Source organism: Homo sapiens, chromosome 1 (assembly GCF_000001405.40).
Source record: "Homo sapiens chromosome 1, GRCh38.p14 Primary Assembly".
NCBI lineage: Eukaryota > Metazoa > Chordata > Mammalia > Primates > Hominidae > Homo > Homo sapiens.
The window spans coordinates 144,975,511-144,997,341 of NC_000001.11; the positions used below are offsets into that span (position 1 = coordinate 144,975,511).

At 42.7% G+C, this 21,831-nt stretch overlaps 1 protein-coding gene across 11 annotated transcripts in view, besides 3 other annotated features; it reads right to left on the reverse strand.

The window, feature by feature from the left end:
* The window catches only part of SRGAP2B (SLIT-ROBO Rho GTPase activating protein 2B), a 208,093-nt gene that overhangs the window by 88,223 nt on the left and 98,039 nt on the right, over positions 1-21,831 (reverse strand). For 7 of the 11 annotated variants that reach the window (NM_001385227.1, NM_001366280.2, NM_001330684.2 and 4 more), the window contains exon 3: positions 19,498-19,690. The exons of 2 other annotated variants lie outside the window; for them this stretch is intronic. In NM_001385227.1, coding sequence (NP_001372156.1) covers positions 19,498-19,690 — 193 coding nt within the window. Of the gene's footprint in view, positions 1-19,497; positions 19,691-21,831 lie in introns of those variants that run through there. 2 more of the 11 variants (XM_047428007.1, XM_047428008.1) reach the window with 2 other exon arrangements.
* Positions 4,996-5,496: an enhancer, noted in NCBI's record as "H3K27ac-H3K4me1 hESC enhancer chr1:144028101-144028601 (GRCh37/hg19 assembly coordinates)". NCBI's record gives its function as "activates a minimal SCP1, AML or CMV promoter by ChIP-STARR-seq in naive H9 embryonic stem cells {active_cell/tissue: H9 hESC(naive)}" and the evidence as "EXISTENCE:reporter gene assay evidence [ECO:0000049][PMID:30033119]".
* Positions 15,309-15,974: an enhancer, noted in NCBI's record as "H3K27ac-H3K4me1 hESC enhancer chr1:144017621-144018286 (GRCh37/hg19 assembly coordinates)". NCBI's record gives its function as "activates a minimal SCP1, AML or CMV promoter by ChIP-STARR-seq in naive and primed H9 embryonic stem cells {active_cell/tissue: H9 hESC(naive and primed)}" and the evidence as "EXISTENCE:reporter gene assay evidence [ECO:0000049][PMID:30033119]".
* Positions 21,244-21,744: an enhancer, noted in NCBI's record as "H3K4me1 hESC enhancer chr1:144011847-144012347 (GRCh37/hg19 assembly coordinates)". NCBI's record gives its function as "activates a minimal SCP1, AML or CMV promoter by ChIP-STARR-seq in naive H9 embryonic stem cells {active_cell/tissue: H9 hESC(naive)}" and the evidence as "EXISTENCE:reporter gene assay evidence [ECO:0000049][PMID:30033119]".

Consider the following 21,831-nt stretch of genomic DNA (forward strand, 5'->3'; position numbering starts at 1 on the left):
AAGCTTCTTCCTAGTGTTTGCTTTCTTTTCACTCATTCCCTAGCCTTTCAGCTTCTCCGCCATGTTGTCAGGCAGCACATGGCCCCCACCAAGAGCTGAGCAGATGCTGATGCCACATTCTTATACTCTCAAGCCACCACAGTCGTGAGCCAAATAAGCTTCTTTTCTTTATAAATTACCTGGACTCAGGTATTCTGTTATGGCGACATAAAACAGACTAAGATAGGAAAGAAAGAACTAGTCAGCTAACTTTTGAACATTGTGTCTTGGCCCTCAAGGCTAATAACAAAAAGAACTCTAAACCAGTATTAAAATCTAGTCAGTAGTCTTCTTTTTCAGAGGCATGGGTTAGTAATTCTTTTTTTTTTTTTTTTTTTTTTTGATATGGAGTCTCGGTCTGTCACCCAGGCTGGAGTGCAGTGGCACGATCTCGGCTCACTGCAAGCTCCACCTCCCAGGTTCACCCCATTCTCCTGCCTCAGCCTCCCCAGTAGCTGGGACCACAGGCGCCTGCCACCATGCCCGGCTAATTTTTTTTTTTTGTATTTTTTAGAAGAGACAGGGTTTCACCGTGTTAGCCAGGATGGTCTTGATCTCCTGACCTCATGATCGGCCCGCCTCGGCCTCCCAAAGTACTGGGATTACAGGTGTGAGCCATCGCGCCCAGCCTGGGTTAGTAATTCTGAAACAACTTTCTGTACACTCTAGGACTGAGCAATTAAGTGAAAATGTGTGTTATGGATAATAGGAACCAGGTTTCTCACTGTTCAGAGAACAGGAAAGGGGAGAAAATTAAATAAAACATGTGGTATTGGATTGGAATGAAAGATACTGATATGATCTCATAGGCTTTAATATATATAAATATACAGACAGATAAAGAAATAGCTATTTATAGAAGTACATGGGTGTGTGTGTGTATGTGTCTATGTGTACATACATATATCTACTACCTCTGTCTGCTGAAAGGGACTATAAATAATGGTACTTCAGTTACAAAGAGCATATTTAGCATCCATGGCTTCTAAATACCATTTCCCACTAAAAGCAACCGAGGCTCTCTGAAAAAATGGTCAACTCCACAGTAAAGGCAAGGAAAGTACAAGTTAAGCCTGGAACATCTTGTTGTGCCACCAAGTAAGGAAGTGCTCAAAGAACGATGGGGACATATCAATAAGACACAGAAGCCAGCTTGAAGGGACTCCATTGGCCAAATATAGAACAATATGAACATTAAAATAAAGATGGTAAAGGATTATAACCTGTTGAATAAAATAATAATCCACAAGTCCACACTGATATAAACCAACAACCAGACCAAAAAGTGGGGGTGATGGAAAAGCTCTTCCTTACAGTAGAATTGCAACTGATAAATGTAGAAGGAATGATGAAAACTGGAAAAATGACTATTTGGTAACCATCATAATAGAAAGTGATTCAAGCAAGAAATTATAATGGATGCTAAAACTAGTGAGTATAAGAGTTGAAGGGTAAGCTGATATTTACATGGTCTCAAAGTATCTCTCCACAATATATACATTAATTACAAAGCTTATAGAACAACTTCATGGTGGAGAAACCTAGCAGACACAACTGTAACCAAATGATCAAATTTAACATCATCAGTTATGGCACAAATCATCAGCAAGTGCTTCCTGATATGATGCACTGAGAAGAACGTGACATTACATTTTATGGTATTCCTGCCAAAAGTGTGTGACTTGAATCTAATAATAAGGAAATTATCAGAAATTGCCAGAAATATCAAATTAAGGGATATTCTACAAAATAACGGGGCCAACGTCAATGTCTTGAAATATAAAGACTTGGAAATCATCCCACATTAAAGGAAAGTAAAGAGATAAGACAATTGAATGAATTGCATAATCTTGGACTTTCGTTTGCCAAAAAAGGCCATTTTTAGAACAACTGGTAAAATCTGAATGTCTATTGATTAGATAATAGTATTGTATCAATCTGTATGTCCTGATTTCGATGACTGCACTACGATTATGCAAAAGAACATCCTTATTTTTAGTAAATACACCCTAAAGTATGTATGGATAAAAGGTCATCATGTCTGCAATTTACTCTCAAGTGTTTCAGAAAAACAAAATATGTGTGTGAGAATTGAGTATGAAAAGGGTGAAGTATAAAGCAAATGTAGTAATATGTTAACATTTTGGGGCAATCTGGATAAAATGGTAGTATACAAAAATTCTTTGTGCTATTCCTGCAATTTTTCTGTAAGTCTAACATTATGGCAAAATTTTAAAACTGTTTACAGATTGCATTCTGAAGAAAAATGAAATCATTTCTCCCATCTCTCCTTTGGCAGTAAGTGTATATTATTTTGTGTTATCTTTTTCCCATAAACTCTCTGTCTTCCACATGACACCATGAGCTTCCTGAGGGAAAGAACAGGATCCTACACCTCTTTGTGACCCCAAACCTGCAGAGAACCTATTGGTCATTAGCGATGAGAATGAAGTCAAGTGTTTATTACTGATTCACATATAATAAAGGTGACTAACAGGGTGACTCATAACCCAACAATTCTGTCTCCTCAACCTGGAAGTCTACGCCTTATCAGAGCACATACAAATGTATATAAACAAACTTAAAATATTTCACATTAAGTAATAACTCCCATGGGCTAGAATGGTAGCTTATTCTTCTATGTATATTTAATTCCTTGTACAACTCTTGGCACAGAATAAATGTTCAATAAATGTTTGCTGAAAGATTAAGTGAACCTCACATACCAGGATTGGTGTTCACCAAATTCGTACAAATGGACAAAACAGCCAGAAGTGGACTTCTTTTCCAGAAGGAATAATAGTACAAAGATGGGCCGGGCGCAGTGGCTCACGCCTGTAATCCCAGCAGTTTGGGAGGTCGAGGTGGGCAGATCACCTGAGGTCAGGAGTTCGAGACCAGCCTGGCCAACGTGGAAAAACCCCATCTCTACTAAAAATATAAAAAGTAGCCAGGCATGGTGGTGCGCACCTGTAATCCCAGGTACTTGGGAGGCTGAGGCACGAGAATCTCTTGAACCTGGGAGGCAGAGGTTGCAGTGAGCCGAAATGGCATCATTGCACCCCAGCCTGGGCAACAGAGTGAGAGACTCCATCTCAAAAAACAAAAAACAACAACAACAAAAAATTGTACAAAGATGTTCTTAGCTTCCAAAAGAATAAGCGATTTTATCAAAGATTTTCAAGCCAGTTGTTTTTTGCTAGAGTGGCTCAAAAACATTCCCAGATCTGGTAAATCGCTTTTTTTCATCTGATGTACGATAAGAACCTTTCTAAAGTCTTCGTCAATTTGGTGCCAAGGAAGCCTACCAAAGATGTATTATATTTTTTCTATTATGGCTTCCCTGAACTATGCTGTAAAGTAGAAGGTTTCCTAAGCACTTATCATCTGGCTGGAAACTTGGTATGTGTGCTTGGGGACTAGGGGATGGGGATCAAGAAGAGGCAGCACTGAAGTCTTCATAAGCCATATTCTCATCACTCACCTCTGTTTTTTGTTGTTGTTTTTTTTTGAGACGGAGTCTCGCTCTGTCACCCAGGCTGGAGTGCAGTGGCGCGATCTCGACTCACTGAAAGCTCCGCCTCCTGGGTTCACACCATTCTCCTGCCTCAGCCTCCTGAGTAGGTGGGACTACAGGCACCCGCCACCACACCCGGATAATTTTTTGTATTTTTAGTAGAGATGGGGTTTCGCCGTATTAGCCAGGATGGTCTCGATCTCCTGACCTCGTGATCCGCCCGCCTCGGCCTCCCAAAGTGCTGGGATTACAGGCGTGAGCCACCGCACCCGGCACCTCTGTTTAATGAAGTAATGAACATCTAGCAAAACCAACACTGAGAAAGTATCAGGTTAAAATCCAAGACAAAGCCCATAACAATAACCCGTTAATCAGTATATCATAAAAACCTGAGTTGCGTCCTTCAGAAGGCACTAAGGGAAGTGCACCTGTGTGCTCTTCCTGTGTGTTTTTCCTCCTATGTGATATGGTTTGGATGTCTGTCCCCCCCCAAATCTCATGTTGAAATGTGATTCCAAATGTTGGAGGTGGGGCCTGGTGGGAGGTGACTGCGTCATGGGGGTAGATCCTTCATGAATGGTTTAGCACCATCTCTGTGGTGATAAGTGAGTTCATGCTCACTTAGTTCACGAGAGATCTGGTTGTTCAAAAGTCTGGGACCTCCCCCGACTCTCACTCCCACTCTCACCATGTGACATGCTGGCTCCCCGGTGCCTTCTGCCATGATTGTAAGCTTCCTGAGGCCTCACCAGAAGCAGACACCAGCACCATGCCTCCTGTACAGCCTGCAGAACCATGAGCCAATCAAACCTTTTTTCTTTAGAAATTACCCAGCCTCAGGTATTTATTTACAGCATCACAAAAAATGGCCTAATACACTGTGTATTTGTATGCACATGTATCTAGGACTCTGTGGTAAGAAAGGACACACATTTCCACCCATTACCGGAGAAAACAGGAGCAAGAACAAGACTGACAAATCCAGTCAATGTATAAAAAGGAGTGAGAGAGGAGAAGGAGGGGAGGAAGTCAATACACGTAAGAAGCCAACCCTTTCTTAACTGTGCCTGCCTTCCTGGGTTCACCTTGCTCTGTTTTAGAGTCCACACAATAGCCTGTGCTTTGTCTTCAAGGAAATCCATGAGGCATCATTTCTACCTGTACACTGCAGAAATCAATTCTGTATAACTTCCTCCTTTTGCTAAATCCCTGAGATGCTGCCTATAAATTCAAAGAATTTCAAGCATCAACAATAACCCCTACCCCCACCCTAGAACTTAGTTATGAACATCTGTTGTTTACAAGGGTTCGGGCTGAGAGCTGCCAGACTTGTTCTGCAACCTCTACTTTACCACAGAGGCTGCCAGGGAGGGATGTCTGAATTTCATGCAAGGATGCCCTGTCCCGACTGCTTAAGCAGGAATCAGCAAACACAGCTCAGCATCCTACTGTTGAAGATAATCCTAGTTTGTTCGATTCATTTTCTAATCCTGGCTCTTTAACCAGCTGCACCCTAAATATATTAAGACGCAGAACTGTGCTCATTGATTCTCCCTGAATTTAAAACCCAAGGAGCAACGACAGTGGAGATGTATAAAAGGAGGAGCTAGCAGAAAAGATGAACCTATTTCAACTCTGAAAAACCCAAATCCTACTTTTTTTTTCATTCTCTCTAAATCTTTCGTTAACAGTGAGTCCTTCCCATGTCACACTGTTTCTTTTCAATGTGTGATACTTCTGTGCAGTGTAGGAATTAGATATTAAAGTCTTTACTTCAATTAACCAGGGAACAAATCTAATTGAGAACATAACTATACTATCTTTTACCTTTCCCTGACTGAACCAAGTACAAGTCCCTCCTGAGTACTCCACCTTTCTTCTTTTCCTGGTGACTACTGGAACCTGCTTTAAATGGGGTGCTATTTTTAAATTCCTGTGCACATGTGTTCTTATTATTCTCTCTCAGCCTGCCCGATTTCCCCCATTTCAATTATAAAAACACGTATGGCAGAGACTGTCTTTTCTTCTTATCTTGTAAACCCTTCCCACTTAACACAGTCAGCTCCCAATAAGATGACACAGCTTTTGCCTTGAAAAGAGAACTGGATCAAAGTAAATTCATTTAATTGGCTGCGAATTCCTGAGAATTAAAAATCCCAAGAACACATTGCCTAGTAGTAGTTAGACACATTGCTTCCTGTGTCTGCTACAGAATTATTATGGGGCTTACAGGAGCAGAGAAAAGGAAAACTAAAAGCTCCCCGCACACTAGCACTGTTGTCAAGGAACGTGATCACTACTGTCTTTGCTCCATGGAGCTGAACGCCTGAGGTATGGCCTGCTGACATTCCAGTGGCAAATCCTAGGAGACACAGGAAACTCTCAGGAGTCTCCAACATCCTCCCAATTGCTCATAAAAGCATATTTTGCTTCTAACCTGCCCTCTTATCATTCCCTACCCTAAAAGGAAGATATAAAGCCATTTATGCAGAAGCTTGGGAGCTTCTGTTTGGCCTCATGAGACAAACAACCCAGTAAACCACATACTGTTATGTTCATGACTAAGGTTTGTACTGCACTGGCCTGCTGGCCTCGATGGTAGATACTGCAGGAGGCTGAATAGGACTGGCCTTCTTTTATTTGCCCAAGTCAAAATTGGGACCTGTGGGTCTCAACAGTATATCTTTATAGAAACTCAGCAATTTGGCAATAGGGCTAACTATTAACTCCAAGAGGACGAGAAAATCAGAGAGTGGTTGTATGACAAATGTCTTCCTCTTCATGATTATGAGCCTGGATCTAAAAGTAACCCACCAAGGTTGAACTATATGACACCTTACAGAACAAAACATACAATTGCTGAGTTTTTATAGGGACTGACCATGCAATTACACAGAGTCACATAATTGCCTATGTCCTGCCCAATGTAGCTATACCATAAAAATCAGGGTAGGGGATGAATTTGTCATTCATGAGGGCCCACAGGGGTCTGAAGAAAATGGAAACTGACATATTACCCAGCCAGGCTTAGGAATACTTAACTCTGCACAAGGAATGACTAGTGTATCTAATATACCAGTGTTTTACCCAGTACAGCTGTGCTCAGGCCCAAATCCTGAGGATAGGGATAATAGTTGCTACTATTTACATTTACTATGTGCCAAGCTGTCCTAAGTGTTTCACATATTATTAATTCACTTAACCAGCATAACAACTCCATAAGGTAGTTATGAATATTATCTTCATTTTGCAAACGAGGATACTGAGGTGATTAAAACCTTTCATCTAAAATCACACAGCAAGTAAGTGGGAGAAATCCAGGATTGTGAACCCAGGAAATCTGGTTCCCAGAACTTGTGATCTTAACTATCAGGGCTGACTCTTCTGTGGCTGATCTTAACTATCAGGATTGACTTTTCCTGATAATTATATCAGCTACCATTTATTGAGCATCCATTAAGTCACAAACATTAGCTAGTGCTGTATATACATTATATATATCCTTAGAAGGATCCTTCAAGGTAAGTATTACTGTCAACATTTCACAGGTAAGAAATTGAGGCTAACAGGGGTTAAGTGACTTGCTTAAGGTCACAAGCTAGGAGTAGAAGAGACAAGATTCAGACCCAAGTTTTTCTGGCTCAAAGCTCTGGTTTTTCCCACACAAAGTCACAAAGCTTCCCAAAGAACTTTTAACTGAATTCTTTCTCTCTTCCAAAGACTGGATCACCCTGTCTTGCTGATTCCCAAATGGCCTTCTTGCGTCTCTTCCATTCTGCTTTACCCATGTGTGAGAAGTCCTCCCAACTCTTCCTCCAAAAAGGACTCAACAATGACCTAAGGTTCTACATGAACTGGGCCCATGCAAAACACACCAAAGAACCTTCTGTTAATTTCTGAACAAAGGCATCTTGAGCCATGGAGAAGGGAAGCCAACCCTTGCAACACCAGATGCTACATCTGGGCAAAATCTTTCCTGAGGGAACAAACAGCTCCCAAATATGTCCAAAATGAGTGAGTGATGCACTGGTCCCAGGAAGTCAGGGGTTTTCCCTCCCGGGAGCTTCATGTTTCCTGGTACTTTCCTTCTCAAGGTCACTCCATAAGTCAATGAGGAACCTTCTGGTCTTCCACCCTTTTCCGATTTGCAACCACAACTATAACATTTTCCATGGCCAACTGACTCTATGCTTTTCAACCCAATGCTATCCTGTGAGACTGGTGAATGACTTTGAACTCAACTCCAGGGGAGGAACCCATCCGCAGTAGTGATGTAACTACAGAGATGGCGCACATTCAAATACTGGGCCTGAAGCCGAGAACACAGACTCTACAATAATTTTTCTTTAATTAATTGTGTAACTAACCTCCCACTGAAAGGAGTATTGCAGGTTGAATGTCTACCAAATTCTTAAGATACCTAGGCCCTGCTCCCTCACATCACTTCCAATAGTGACACAACTGATAACCAGCCAAACAAGAAAGTTTACTTTCTATGTCTACCTCCTTGATATTCTGCTAATTTAATATTAGTGAAAATAGGAGATTGTCTTATTCTTCTCTATCTCCAGTACTAAACCCAATTCCTGATACATAATTAGGTTCCCAAAATGTATACTCAATGATACACAAATAAATATATCATTTAAATTCCTTTATACACTCTGTAATCTGAGTATCACAGATGATACAAAGGAAGTTTCCCCTTTGTTCTTCTAAACTCTTACTATTGGAAATCACAAATATTTCCACAGTTTCAACCATCCCCTCTGTGCACGTGTGCAAATCTCTACCAACAGCCAAAAAATCTCTTTAGCCCTGCATACAGCCATTCATTTTGTCAACTACTAGAAATTTTAGCTTCAATACTCTTCCAACACCTTAAACTTAAAATCCAAAACCAAATTTCTCATATTTTACTCCTTCAAAAACAATTCTTTCTCCTAACTTCTGTTAAAAAACACTAGATTTCAGCTGGGCACAGAGGCTTATGCCTGTAATCCCAGCACTTTGGGAGGCCAAGGTGTGCGGATCACCTGAGGTCAGGAGCTCAAGACCAACCTGACCAACATGGAGAAGCCCCGTCTCTACTAAAAATACAAAATTAGCCTGGCGTCGTGGCGCATGCCTGTAATCCCAGCTACTCGGGAGGCTGAGGCAAGAGAATAGCTTGAACCTGGGAGGCAGAGGATGCAGTGAGCTGAGATCGTGCCATTGCACTCCAGCCTGGGCAACAAGAGCGAAACTCCATCTAAAAAAAAACCCAAACAACAACAACAACAACAACAACAACAACAACAAAAAAAAAAAAACAAAAAAGCCCCTCTCTATTTCTTTTAAAGATACCATTAATTTATCAATCACCCAAGTCAAAAAGACACTTTACAGACCTCTTTCTTTTATGGCTTCCAAGCTCACTTGAAACCTGAATCCCATCAGTCAGCAATTCCTGTAGATTCTTCCTGCACCAGGTGCTTTCCGTCTGTCTCTAGACTGTAAGCTCTAGGAGTACAGGGGTGGGTATCTGGCATGTGTCTGGCACATGGTAAGAAGATATATATTTGCTAAATGGACAGAAGGATAAATTCCCCTTCTTTTCATTCCTACCATCCCAACCTAATTTAGATCCTTATGATCTACTGCAGCAACTGGTTTCCTTGGTCTCATGTTTCTTGTCATTTAGCAAACTACCACTAGGTTAATCTTCCTTAATCAGAATTCATACTTATTTAAACCATCAGTGGTTTCCAGTGTCTATTGCATAGAGCCAAATCCCTAATCAAGGGTCAAGGCCCTCCACAATACAAACCCATCTACCTTTGTCCACTTCTTCCACATCCACTTATTCTCCCAGCTAAACCAGTCTACTCACTGTACCTCAAAAGTGCTTTGTTCTTTCTTCTAGCTGTGCCCCTTTTTCCTAGAGTATCTTCCCCTCCCTCTCAAGAGCCATTTTCTTTAAAGCTTTGTTCAAATCTCATTTCCTTACTGAAGTTTCCTGTCTACATCAACTGAGCCTCATCTCTTCTGCAGCATATACTTAGTACTTACTACATATAGCCTTATGTTGAAGATTTGTATTCTTGTATTTGAATTTAATTTCTCCCTGACTAGATTATAATTTCATATGGGAAAGAACTACTCCTTTTATTTCTTTGGATCTCTGTCCTCTAAGAGTTTAGAACAAAACCTCTAAAATAGTCAACAAATATGTGTTGAGGAGAGAAAGAAGCTGGGAGAAACGCTGAAAAGATACTGACAGTGGGTTATAAAATAGCAGAAGGTCTCTGCAAGGAACACAGCAGGACAGAAATGTAGAAGTATTGCTCTAAAAACTCAACAGAAAAAAAAAAGCTACCTAAAAAATGAGCTATTAAAAGCAGGAGATCAAAACCAAGTGAGCTATGACTGAAAGGTAATTTACAGCAAGTCTATTTAAAAAAAAAACAAACAAACAGCCAATGCATTATCAATTAGAGTCCTGCTGGGCCATATTAACACAGATTCCACTTAAAAGAGACAATCAAAGGCTCAGCAACGCATAGGAATACATTTATGCTCTTCAAGGAGCCAAAGAAAATGCAAGAACATCTTCCCTAGAAAGGCTTCCTACCCTCGCATAATACTTTACCACTGCTCTTAATCAAACCAGGCTGACAGAATTTCAGACATTAGCAGGGTCTTCCCACAATTCACAGGGATGGGGAAAGCCATGTTACCTGTCTTAAACAAAGCAGAATAACATAGGGTCAAATAATCGCTACAGTTCTATCTGCAGCATCTCTCATTCTCTGGGGGAAGGAGAAAGAAGGAGAGGGATGGAACCAGAGGGTCAGGCTGCCATGGAGTCAGAACTGTACAGGCTTTAATGAGGATATCTGCACTGAGCGCAATGTGGGAGAGGACAAAAGGTGAGCAGGAGCAGAGCAGAGTAGGAAGCAAAGCCAAAGGCTGACAGCGTAATGGCTTCCAGGGGAGGAGGTGTCCAAAAGATGAAGAAAGCAGTTCAGCAGCGTCCATCCCTAAATGCAATCACTTAGAACTGTAAGAAAATACCCAACCTAACGCAGTATGAGTGGCTGAAACCCAGCCAGGGTAAGAAAGTGGCCTGGAAAAGGGTGAGATGAATCCATGTGGACTGAATTCAGCCCTGGCCAACCTGCTGCATCCCAAGTTGAATAGTTTCCACGTCCCTGAGATGGGTCTGTTCAGAGTTGCTGCTGGCAGCTGCTCTCCTGGCAGTACAGGAAGACAAATTCATGGCATTGCTAGCCCAACAGCTGCTACAGCTCCGGGGGAGGTGATGAGTGCCCACTGAGATGTTCTGGGCAGAGAATGAACTATTCTGGGACCAGTCCTAGAGTCAGCAAAATCAAGGCTACAGTTCACCGACTGAATGAAAATACAGTACTATTGTCACTCCAGAGACCCAGGAAACCAAGAGCACTTTCTCTGTCCCAGCTTCTTTGAATTCCATTGATTCTTGTCCTCACACTTGGCCCCATCTTGTCTATTTCCAAGGGTATGACCTCAGTTTCAGCCCACATTAACCTCACCACTGGACTCCTTTCTTAACAGGTCCTCCTCCTTCCAGTCTCTCTGCTCCAATTGATCATATGCATCGTTGCCATAGTTACCCTTCGAAAGCACAGCCATAATTATGTTCCTTGCTCAAAAACTATCAATGGTCCCCCATGCTTACAGAATAAAGCCCGAACCCTGTCGCCTGGCATTCATAGACCTCTTTAATCTTCTGGCCCCTATCTTTTCCAGGTTTATTTCACTATCACATTTATAATTACTGTTCTTCAGCAAAACAGATAAGTTATCCATCAGCCTTTGTTCTCACTTCTGTTAGCCTTTTCTAATACTGCTCTATCTAAAATGCTTCCTTTCCCATCTTTTCACCTTCTTTCTACAACTTCTCCATTGTCTCAACTGTATTAAGCTTAAAGGATCAATGCCTAGCATTGGCACTTTAATTTTTTTATCTCCCATCCATTGAACTTGACCTCCCTAAAGCCCTCTCCAGTCCTCCAATCAGAAGAAATCTCTCTTCTTTGTGCACCTGTGGCACTCTGTATGGATGGGTGGCCATGGTCTTTCCTACACTTGTCCTTTCATACACCATGGCAGATGCTGCTGATTGTCCCCCAATATTTCCCCTTCTTCTATATTAAGAGAAACTCTACTTTATAGTCACCCAGAACAATAACTACACTTCCCAGCCTCCCTTGCAGTTCAGCATAACCATGTGACTAAGTTCTGGCCAGTCAGATATGAGTTGAAGAGCTGTGTGTGCCACTTCCAGAGTGCACCTTTAAAAAATAAGGCCATACCTGCCCCTCGTCCTGTTGCCTTTTCCTGCTGGCTGGAATGAGAACATGGTGGCAGTGAGCCATCTTGGGTCATACAGAAAAGGATAACACTCTCGGGATGGAATAAGAAGCCTGACAGCCCTGGATGGCTAACACCTAGACTATGACATCAGAGAGAAATCAACCTCTATCTTGTGTATGCCATTATTACTTGGGGTCTATTACATCAGCCAAACTTATATCTTTACCAAATCAGACATGCCTAAGATGCCTTTCCTATGCCAATGTCAAATTTTCAGTTGCCAGCAAATGTTTCAAGCTTGTCTTAGTGCTGCTGACTGCCAGGTACCAATTCTGTTTCAGCAGGATGGTTGTCTCTGCACAGCAATGCTTGTGCTGTGCACACATTTTAACACTTGGTTATCTTTTGCAACACAAAAATGAGTGGAAATGGAAAAACAAAAGTGCTGTTACTAATGTTGCATTGAGGCATTGAGAAGTAGAGGTCTCATCACTGTACTACTAAGATAAGGGCAGAACTCATCAGCTACGTGGACTCTTTAGGTATTCACTGAACTTGAGCAGGCAGGCCATGAGTTTAATGGTGGAAAAACAAACAGAACTAAAGACAAGGTATACAATGCTAAAAATATATCAGGTGAGGGATAATTTGGAATTTCACATATACACTTATTTATAATAATAGAACCTACCTACCCCACATAAAACTGTAGTTAGACATTCAACCATTTGACTTCTGTATACACTTTTAGGAATAAATTATGCATGAAAGTAGGATGTTGCCTGAGCCTCTCTTATTGAGTTTCTCACCACCTTGCCTGTATTAAATGCATTTGTACATATGTTCTATCTCCTCTTCTACCAGGCTGTACCATATGAAATTGCCATTTTGCCTTACAAAAAAAACCAGCAATTTCATATGTTTCACCCTAAGAGATTGAAAACATTTGGGTTTGGGGCTTGTTTTAGTCATCTTTGCATCTCTCACAATACCTTATACATGAGAGAGTATCAATAAGAAATTGCTCTTACAGATCTTCTACTTAAAACACTTCTAGTTCCATCAGACGCCACTTTCCCACCTTACCTTCTACCCTGTGCCTTAAAAAACAAAACTATTCTCTCTCTCTTCAGGTAGCTTTTGCTTCTCCTCATAGTAACTTTTACTACCAATGCAAAACTTTTATTGTCTAAGCCTGGGGTCCTGGATTTAGCTCTTTGTTCTCCTCTTTCTCTTCCCTGAATTCATATACTTTCATCTCTCCCACAATCACTTTTACTCCGAAGATTCTGCTAGCTATCCCCAGTCATAACCTCTTACCTCAGCAGTATGCCATCTCCACCTGGATACCTGATGGCCTCGTACTGCTCTACACCCAAAATGTTCAAAGTAGGATCACCATTCAAAACAGATCTTCCCTCAACACCCCCACTTCTATCGTGAATGCCACAATTCTTCTAGGTCACCAGGGTAGAGACACTGGGTCACCTCTGACCATTATGGTTCTATGCTTTATCCAGTCAGTTATCCAGTCCTATTTAGTTTCTTGAATACCTTCTGAATATATTCCTACTTCCTTTCCACTCCCCCCACTTTTTTTTTTTTTTTTTTTTTTTTTGCTCTTACTTTGTGTGTAGATTACTCCAAAACCTTCATCCTGGCCTTCTGTTTTCCTCGTGTCTCTCTCCCCACCTAAGAACCCAGAGGACCCACTAAAATGCTGCCACACCCAATCTGAACTTCTCTGCTTGCTATCAAAGGGCTATCATTTGGGGTCTACTCTACTTATTTAACCTTATTTTCCACTGCTCTTGAAAATAGCTGTGTTCTCATATCTCTACTAAAGCTCTTTTCACATTATACTATTTACATAGCTCTTTTCCCTGTTAACCAGGGATTTTTTTTTTTTTTTAGACACAGGGTCTCACTCTGTCACCCAGGCTGGTGTGCAGCGGTGCAGTCATAGCTCACTGTAGGCTCCAACTCCTGGAGTGAAGCGATCTTCCCACCTCCTGAGAAGTTAGGACTACAGGCGTGCATCACCATGCTGAGCTAATTTTTTATTTTTTGTAGAGATGGGTTCTTGCTATGTTGCCTAGGCTGGTCTCAAACTCCTGGCCTCAGGAGATCCTCCTATCTTACCCTCTCAAAGTGCTGGGGTTACAGGCATAAGTCACCATGCTCCGCTTAAACAGGAATTCCTAAGTTTATGTTAGTTCCTATAGGAATCAACACAGAGCACAGTACTCAGTAGGTATTTAAAAGTAATTTGTTGAATAAGTAGACTGATTGTTACCCAGAATATGATCAGGCAGGAAGCTATTGGAGTAAACCAGCTATAAAGTGGAAAAGTTGCCCTCTTCCAGGTTCTTGTGCCACCTTGTATTAAATACTTTCCTTCCACAACACTTACCCCAACTTTAAATTACATATCTAATTGTGTGATTTGTTAAATGCCCATTTCTTCATCTAAGTGCTAAGTGCTAAGTGTAGCAGTTTGTTCCCTGCTACACTCCAAGGCACAAAGGAGTTCAAGGAATGTGCAATGGAAATCAGTTAGATGAATGTGTTAGGAACCTTCCCTTTAATAAAGCTGGATCCCACACTAGCCCCTACACCCTCTCATCACCAAATATTCCTGCTTCCTCTCACCTGCACTTGCTGTTCTCTCCTCTGCCACACAAATCTACCTCTCAAGCCTAGGTCCCACCTGCTTCATGACAACTTTCCAGACTATTCCAGAACCTTTAACCATCTCTGACCTCTCATCAGATCTATGTTGTACATAACACCAATTAATGAGATCATTACTGCTTTATGCTCTAATTGCTTCCTGTATTCAAAATCTTCTCTCCAACCACATAATGACTCCCTAAACTTCTCTTGTATTTTCCAATGCCTTGTACAAGCACAGAACTGGTCAATCAATAAATACTCACTGGTTATTTGAGGAAAAAATGTTGCCAAGCACCATCTTTATCAGAAAATAAATCAATTCTTCTAAACTTGGAGAAATCACCCTATTCCTAGTATGTGATCTTAATTAGAACAATTCAGATTGAGAGGTGACAGCATGCTGGCAGTCCTCAGAGCCCTCGCTTGCTCTCGGCACCTCCCCTGCCTGGGCTCCCACTTTGGTGGCATTTGAGGAGCCCTTCAGCCTCCCCCCTGCACTGTGGGAGCCCCTTTCTGGGCTGGCCAAGGCTGGAGCCCACTCCCTCAGCTTGCAGGGAGGTGTGGAGGGAGAGGCACGAGCGGGAACCGGGGCTGCGTGCGGCGCTTGCGGGCCAGCTGGAGTTCCGGGTGGGCTTGGGCTTGGTGGGCCCCGCACTCGGAGCAGCCGGCCAGCCCTGCTGGCCCCGGGCAATGGGGGACTTAGCACCCGGGCCAGTGGCTGCGGAGGGTGTACTGAGTCCCCCAGCAGTGCCGGCCCATCGGCGCTGTGCTCGATTTCTCGCTGGGCCTTAGCTGCCTTCCCGCGGGGCAGGGCTCGGGACCTGCAGCCCGCCATGTCTGAGCCTCCCACCCACTCCATGGGCTCCTGTGCGGCCGGAGCCTCCCCGACGAGCACCACCCCCTGCTCCATGGCGCCCAGTCCCATCGACCACCCAAGGGCTGAGGAATGCGAGCGCACAGCGCAGGACTGGCAGGCAGCTCCACCTGCAGCCCCGGTGCGGGATCCACTAGATGAAGCCAACTGGGCTCCTGAGTCTGGTGGGGACGTGGAAAGTCTTTATATGTAGCTCAGGGATTGTAAATACACCAATCAGCACCCTGTGTTTAGCTCAAGGTTTGTGAGTGCACCAATCGACACTCTGTATCTAGCTGCTCTAGTGAGGACGTGGAGAACCTTTATGTCTAGCTCAAGGATTGTAAATACACCAATCGGCACTCCATATCTAGCTCAAGGTTTGTAAACACACCAATCAGCACCCTGTGTTTAGCTCAAGGTTTGTAAGTGCACCAATCGACACTCTGTATCTAGCTGCTCTGGTGAGGACATGGAGAACCTTTATGTCTAGCTCAAGGACTGTAAATACACCAATCGGCACTCTGAATCTAGCTCAAGGTTTGTAAATACACCAATCAGCACCCTGTGTTTAGCTCAAGATTTGTGAGTGCACCAATCGACACTCTGTATCTAGCTGCTCTGGTGAGGATGTGGAGAACCTTTATGTCTAGCTCAGAGATTGTAAATACACCAATCAGCACTCTGTATCTAGCTCAAGGTTTGTAAACACACCAATCAGCACCCTGTGTTTAGCTCAAGGTTGGTGAATGCACCAATCGACACTCTGTATCTAGCTGCTCTGGTGGGGCCTTAGAGAACCTGTGTGTCAAAACTCTGTATCTAACTAATCTGATGGGGAGGTGGAGAACCTTTGTATCTATCTCAGGGATTGTAAATGCACCAATCAGCACCCTGACAAAACAGGCCACTCGGCTCTACCAATCAGCAGGATGTGGGTGGGGCCAGATAAGAGACTAAAAGCAGGCTGCCCGAGCCAACATTGGCAACCCGCTCGGGTCCCCTTCCACACGGTGGAAGGTTTGTTCTTTTGCTTTTTGCAATAAATCTTGCTAGTGCTCACTTTTTGGGTCCATGCTGCTTTTATGAGCTGTAACACTCACTGCAAAGATCTGCAGCTTCACTCCTGAGCCCAGCGAGACCACAAGCCCACCGGGAGGAACGAACAACTCCAGACGCGCTGCCTTAAGAGCTGTAACACTCACCGTGAAGGTCTGCAGCTTCACTCCTGAGCCAGTGAGACCACGAACCCACCAGAAGGAAGAAACTCCGAACACATCTGAACATCAGAAGGGACAGACTCCAGACACACCACCTTAAGAGCTGTAACACTCACCGCGAGGGTCCGCGGCCTCATTCTTGAAGTCAGTGAGACCAAGAACCCACCAATTCCGGACACAAGATGACTTGGAGATTAACACATCTGAACCTTAATTTGTAACAAATACGTCCATAAGCTGAGAATATGATACAGTACTAAAAATCAAATGCTATTTTAAATTTAGGATGAGATTACCAACAGAATAAATCCAACTTTGAATCATTTTCTAAAGCAAATGATTCCTCCCCTAAGTCTTCATTTATCACATACTAAAATAACATTTTTTTATCAGATGATTCTCTTATCATAAAGAGAATAAGACTTGGGAAAGATAAGAAACTCTGAGGAAAAAAACATCTGGAGGAAATTTTCATTCTGGCTTATTTTGAGATGTCATGTTCTCCTCAACCTTAACCCCATCTTCATTGCACAGAGCTGGCTTTTAAAGGATAATTTGTGTCCTGTATTATTAAGGCAATAAACAAAAATAGAAAATGGGGAAAATAAGATACACTTGGCACTAATTTCAAATTCATTCATTCATTTATTTATTCCACAATATTTAGTGAGCATCTACTATACACCACATATTATACTAGGCACTGTGGGACACCAGAAGATCAAACAAACTTATACAGTCCACTCAGAGAAGATAACAGAAGGTAGATAGTGCTGAATGCCCTAAGAGAAGAACAAATAAAATGCTGTAAGAATTCAGAAGATGGAGAACTTTCTTCCTTCTGGGAGAATCAGGAAAGTTTCCTGGAACAGGGAGCACCTGAGATGGGTCTTAAGACATGGGCATGACTTAGACATGCAAAGATGGAAAGACTGACCACATAACCTCAAGTAACAGGATGCCAGTGACTCACTGGAGTGAATGTTCTGTTTGGCTCGGGTATAGTGGAACAGAAACAAGAAATAAGGTTGGAAACCTGTTTGAGGCTTTCCAGATGTAGAGGGGCTTAAAGACCAAGCCAAAAAGTGTGCACCTTTGTGAATGGAACAGCATTTCCCAAATGTCAATGTGCACACAAATCACATGCTATGTTGTGGGATCTTGTTATAGTAGGACTGGAGTAGGACCTGAGATACTGCATTTCTAACAGTACAGATGAAGCTGACACTGAGAAACTACAATTTGATATCAAAAACATAGATGGGCTGGGTGTGGTGGCTCACACCTGTAATTCCAGCACTTTGGAAGGATGAGGTGGGAGGATCACTTAAGGCCAGGAGTTTGAGACCAAACTGGGCAACATAGCGAAACCCTGTCTCTACAACAATTAAAATAAAATAAAAATAGCTGGGTATGATGGTGCACACCTGCAGTCCCAGCTACTCAGGAGGTAGGCTGAGGCAGGAGGATCACTAGAGCCCAAGAGTTTGAGGCTGCAGGGAGCCAAGATCACGCTATTGTACTTCAGCCTGGGTGACAGAGCAAGACCTTATCTCTAAAAATAATAATAATCATAATAAAAAGAACATAGACAATGGAGAGACATTGAAAGTTTTGCAGAAAGAAATTCTCTGATCGCCAGTGTGTTCCAGGAAGATTAACTCCGATCACAATGGAGCAGGCAGATTGGAATGGAGAGAAACTGTAGACCAAGCTTGTCCAACCTACGGCCTGTGGGCTGCATGGGGGCCAGGATGGCTTTGAATGCAACCCAACGGAAATTTGTAAACTTTCTTAAAATATTATGAGGTTTTTTTGCAATTTTTTTTAAGCTCATCAGCTATTGTATTAGCATATTTTATGGGTGGCCCAAGACAATTCTTCTTCTTCCAATGTGGCCCAGGGAGACCAAAAGATTGGACACCCCTGCTGTGGACTGTGATCCTCAATGCTGGCTGTTCATTAGAATCACCTGGGAAGCTTTTACACCACCCTGTTACCCAGGCCTCACTCCCAGAGATTCTCATTTAATTGGTCTGGAGTGGGGCCCAGATTTCTGTATTTTTTTTAAAGTTCTCCAGGGAATTCTAATATGCAGCCAGGGTTGAAAATCTCTGCTATAGAAGATATAGTAAATACTGCAATCATTCAGGCAAAAAAGATGATGATCTAAACTAGGGCAATGGCACTGGGAACCAAGTGAATGGGCCAGCTGTATAAAATAAACTAAATGTAGAAGAAATAGACCTTAGCAGCTACCTAGACAGGGATTTAGATATAATGGCCTCAACATCATTTATTTCTTCTAATTAAAGACAGTTTGGTGAAATGGTTAAAAATATAGACCCTGCAGCCCAATTCCAGCTCTACTATTTACTAGGGGTGTGTGAGTGTGAGTGTGTGTGTGTGTGTGAGAGAGAGAGAGAGAGAGAGAGAGAGAGAGAGAGAGAGAGAGACAGAGATTAAGATAGACCCTGAGTTAAGCCCCTTAACCTTTTTATGCCTCAGTTTCCTCATCTATAAATTGGGGATAATAACAATAACCATCATATGGAGTTGTTGGGATTAAGCAAACTAACATATATGTAAAGCCCTTAGTAGCATGCCTGGCAACAGAGCTATAAACAAGTTTGCTGTTATTATTAGCATGGTTCATCATCTACTCTCATCTCTACGAAATGTTGAATTGCACTTAAGACTGATCTGGAAAATGAGAAGTCCTTGAGGGCTTTCAACCAATCTGAAGCCAGGGGCTCCTGAATTCAGCTGGATCTAAGTGGCATACCCTGCCCCCCTCCACCCTGGACCCCATATTCCAAGGTCTCAGAGAGTAATAGCCACAGAGCCCCTACTTGAATTGCTGGTCCTTGGTGCTGCATGTCTTGGCCAGGAAGCGTTCTGCCAGCTTCTCCAGGTTGCGGGAGTAGTCCATCTCAATCTCTGCCTTCTTTCGGAAGAAGTCCTGGAGGTCCTGCAACAGTTGCACCCGAAGCTCACACTGCTGGTCCAGGCATTTCATCTGCTCTGTGAGCTGAGCACGGATCTCTACAACAAAAACAAGAGAAGACAGTCAGAAAGACAGCCCTAAATAAACCACCATGCATGCCAATATTCACCCACCTTCCACTTACTTATTCCCCGTGCCCTGGGAAATTGAAAGCCCTGAACAAAAAAGCCTAAAGTCTAAACTGGCCATAGGATGTGAGGCACCTCCAAAAATGCCAACCCTTTTTACACCATTAAAGAACATTGTGAACCAGGAATCTGCTGAATCACTTATGAGAAGCTGCTTATTAAAAATAATAACATTCCTATCTACCATTTATATTACTATGTTTCTAGTGGCACAGAGCCAGAATCTGGGTTGTCTTCTGGCAGAGGGCCCAAATGAATTATCACCCCAACCATCCTATGAGGCAGGTACTACCTCATCCCCATTTTAAAAATGAGAAAACAGAGTCTTGAAGAAGTCAAACTTTTAAGTGGTGAAGCTGGGATTCAAACCCCAAGAGACTGACTTTAGAGACCATGCTCCTACTTTTTGCATTTTTCCCCATCATTTCAAAATGTTGTTTACCATCTTCATGAAGTAGGATGAAGGTCAGGATATTTTAACGGAGATAGGAAGAAAATCTCCCAAGGTCAAATGGTAGCAATCAAAACAAAAGAAGCACAAGAACTTCTGGGCAGGCAAACCATTCACTGTCAATCAGATTTCACAGTTTCCAACATCACAGAATGAAAATCATTTTTTAAGAAGACTTGGAAAGAGATTTTTTTCACTAACAAATATCACTCATATCTGTGTTGCTTAATCTTCATAGATGCTGTAGTGCCTCTATAGTGTCATAGCTAGAAATACTTCTGGTTAAGCTCTAGCATGCAGATTTCTGGCTGGTCAGGGTCCTTGTATGGAGCTAGCAAACACTCTCTCTGGAACTGCTGCAAAGGCAGCTATAGATGCAAACAGATCTGCCTCAAATGCAGCACTGCATTTGTTACTGACAAGAGACCTGGCACTCATAGGAAGCAGTATGACAAAGCCAGACTGATTTTCAGCTCAGAGAAGGCTTGCAGTGTGTATCCTGCTGAAGTTATGTCCCAATCCCCATCTGAGTCAGAATGGAGCCATTTCTTTCATCTTTTCCCTCTGCAAGCCTGCTCAGCTCCAAATGCATTAGGATGTGACAGTGACTCCAATCCCACAGAAAAGGAGCACCTATATTATGCCTTTCCTTATGTGTGCCCCAAATTCATTCCCAAATAGTACAGTTGCAACAATGCTTTCTGTCTATGCTATGTAATGCTATGTAATGCATCATTATGGGGAGAGGGGGTCTAGAGTTTTCACGTGAGCTGCAGATAAATCAGAGGCAAATCAGGATCAGAACTATGATGCTGAAATGTTCTTGAAGCAATGAGGATGGGTAAATGGTGCGTTTAGCTTTGCCTTAAAGTAGTCGAGGCTCCACAATCTGTCCCCATCTACATTTTTGTTTCTGTTTTTACAAATATCAGTATGTCCTTTGCAGATGATCTCAGGTGATCTGTAAGCGCAATTCTCACCCTCTTCATCCTCATCTCTCTCCCTGTCAACCACCAATGCCAACCAGCCCTGCAGTAACCTCACCTGAACTGAAACTGAGCTCCGGAGGATTGTTTCAAGCAGACAGAAGGCTGTGCAGAAAAGCTGCCTACCTCATCACTCATCAAAGCTCTCTTGTTCTGTGTTTTACGGAGTCTGATTACAAGGGTATTGGGGGTAAAGATCTGCAGAGGTTATGTCAGGCATCTGGTTCTTGCCAGGGATTTCTGGGTCTCTTAAAGGGAACAGCCCTTGTTGAGACTATTCCTGTAGGCATCTGTCCCCCTTCAATATATTAGTGAAAAGCTGATAGTAATAGACATTGGGTGGGCAGACTGTACATTGAGAGGGCATTCAGAATGCTTACTAATATTACTTAAATTCCATCCGTTCAGTAAGAACCAAGTGCCAGGCGCGGTGGCTCACGCCTGTAATCCCAGCACTTTGGGAGGCCGAGGCGGGCGGATCACAAGGTCAGGAGATCGAGACCATCATGGCTAACATGGTGAAACCCTGTCTCTACTAAAAATACAAAAAAAAATTAGCCAGGCATGGTGGCAGGTGCCTGTGGTCCCAGCTACTGGGGAGGCTGAGGTGCGAG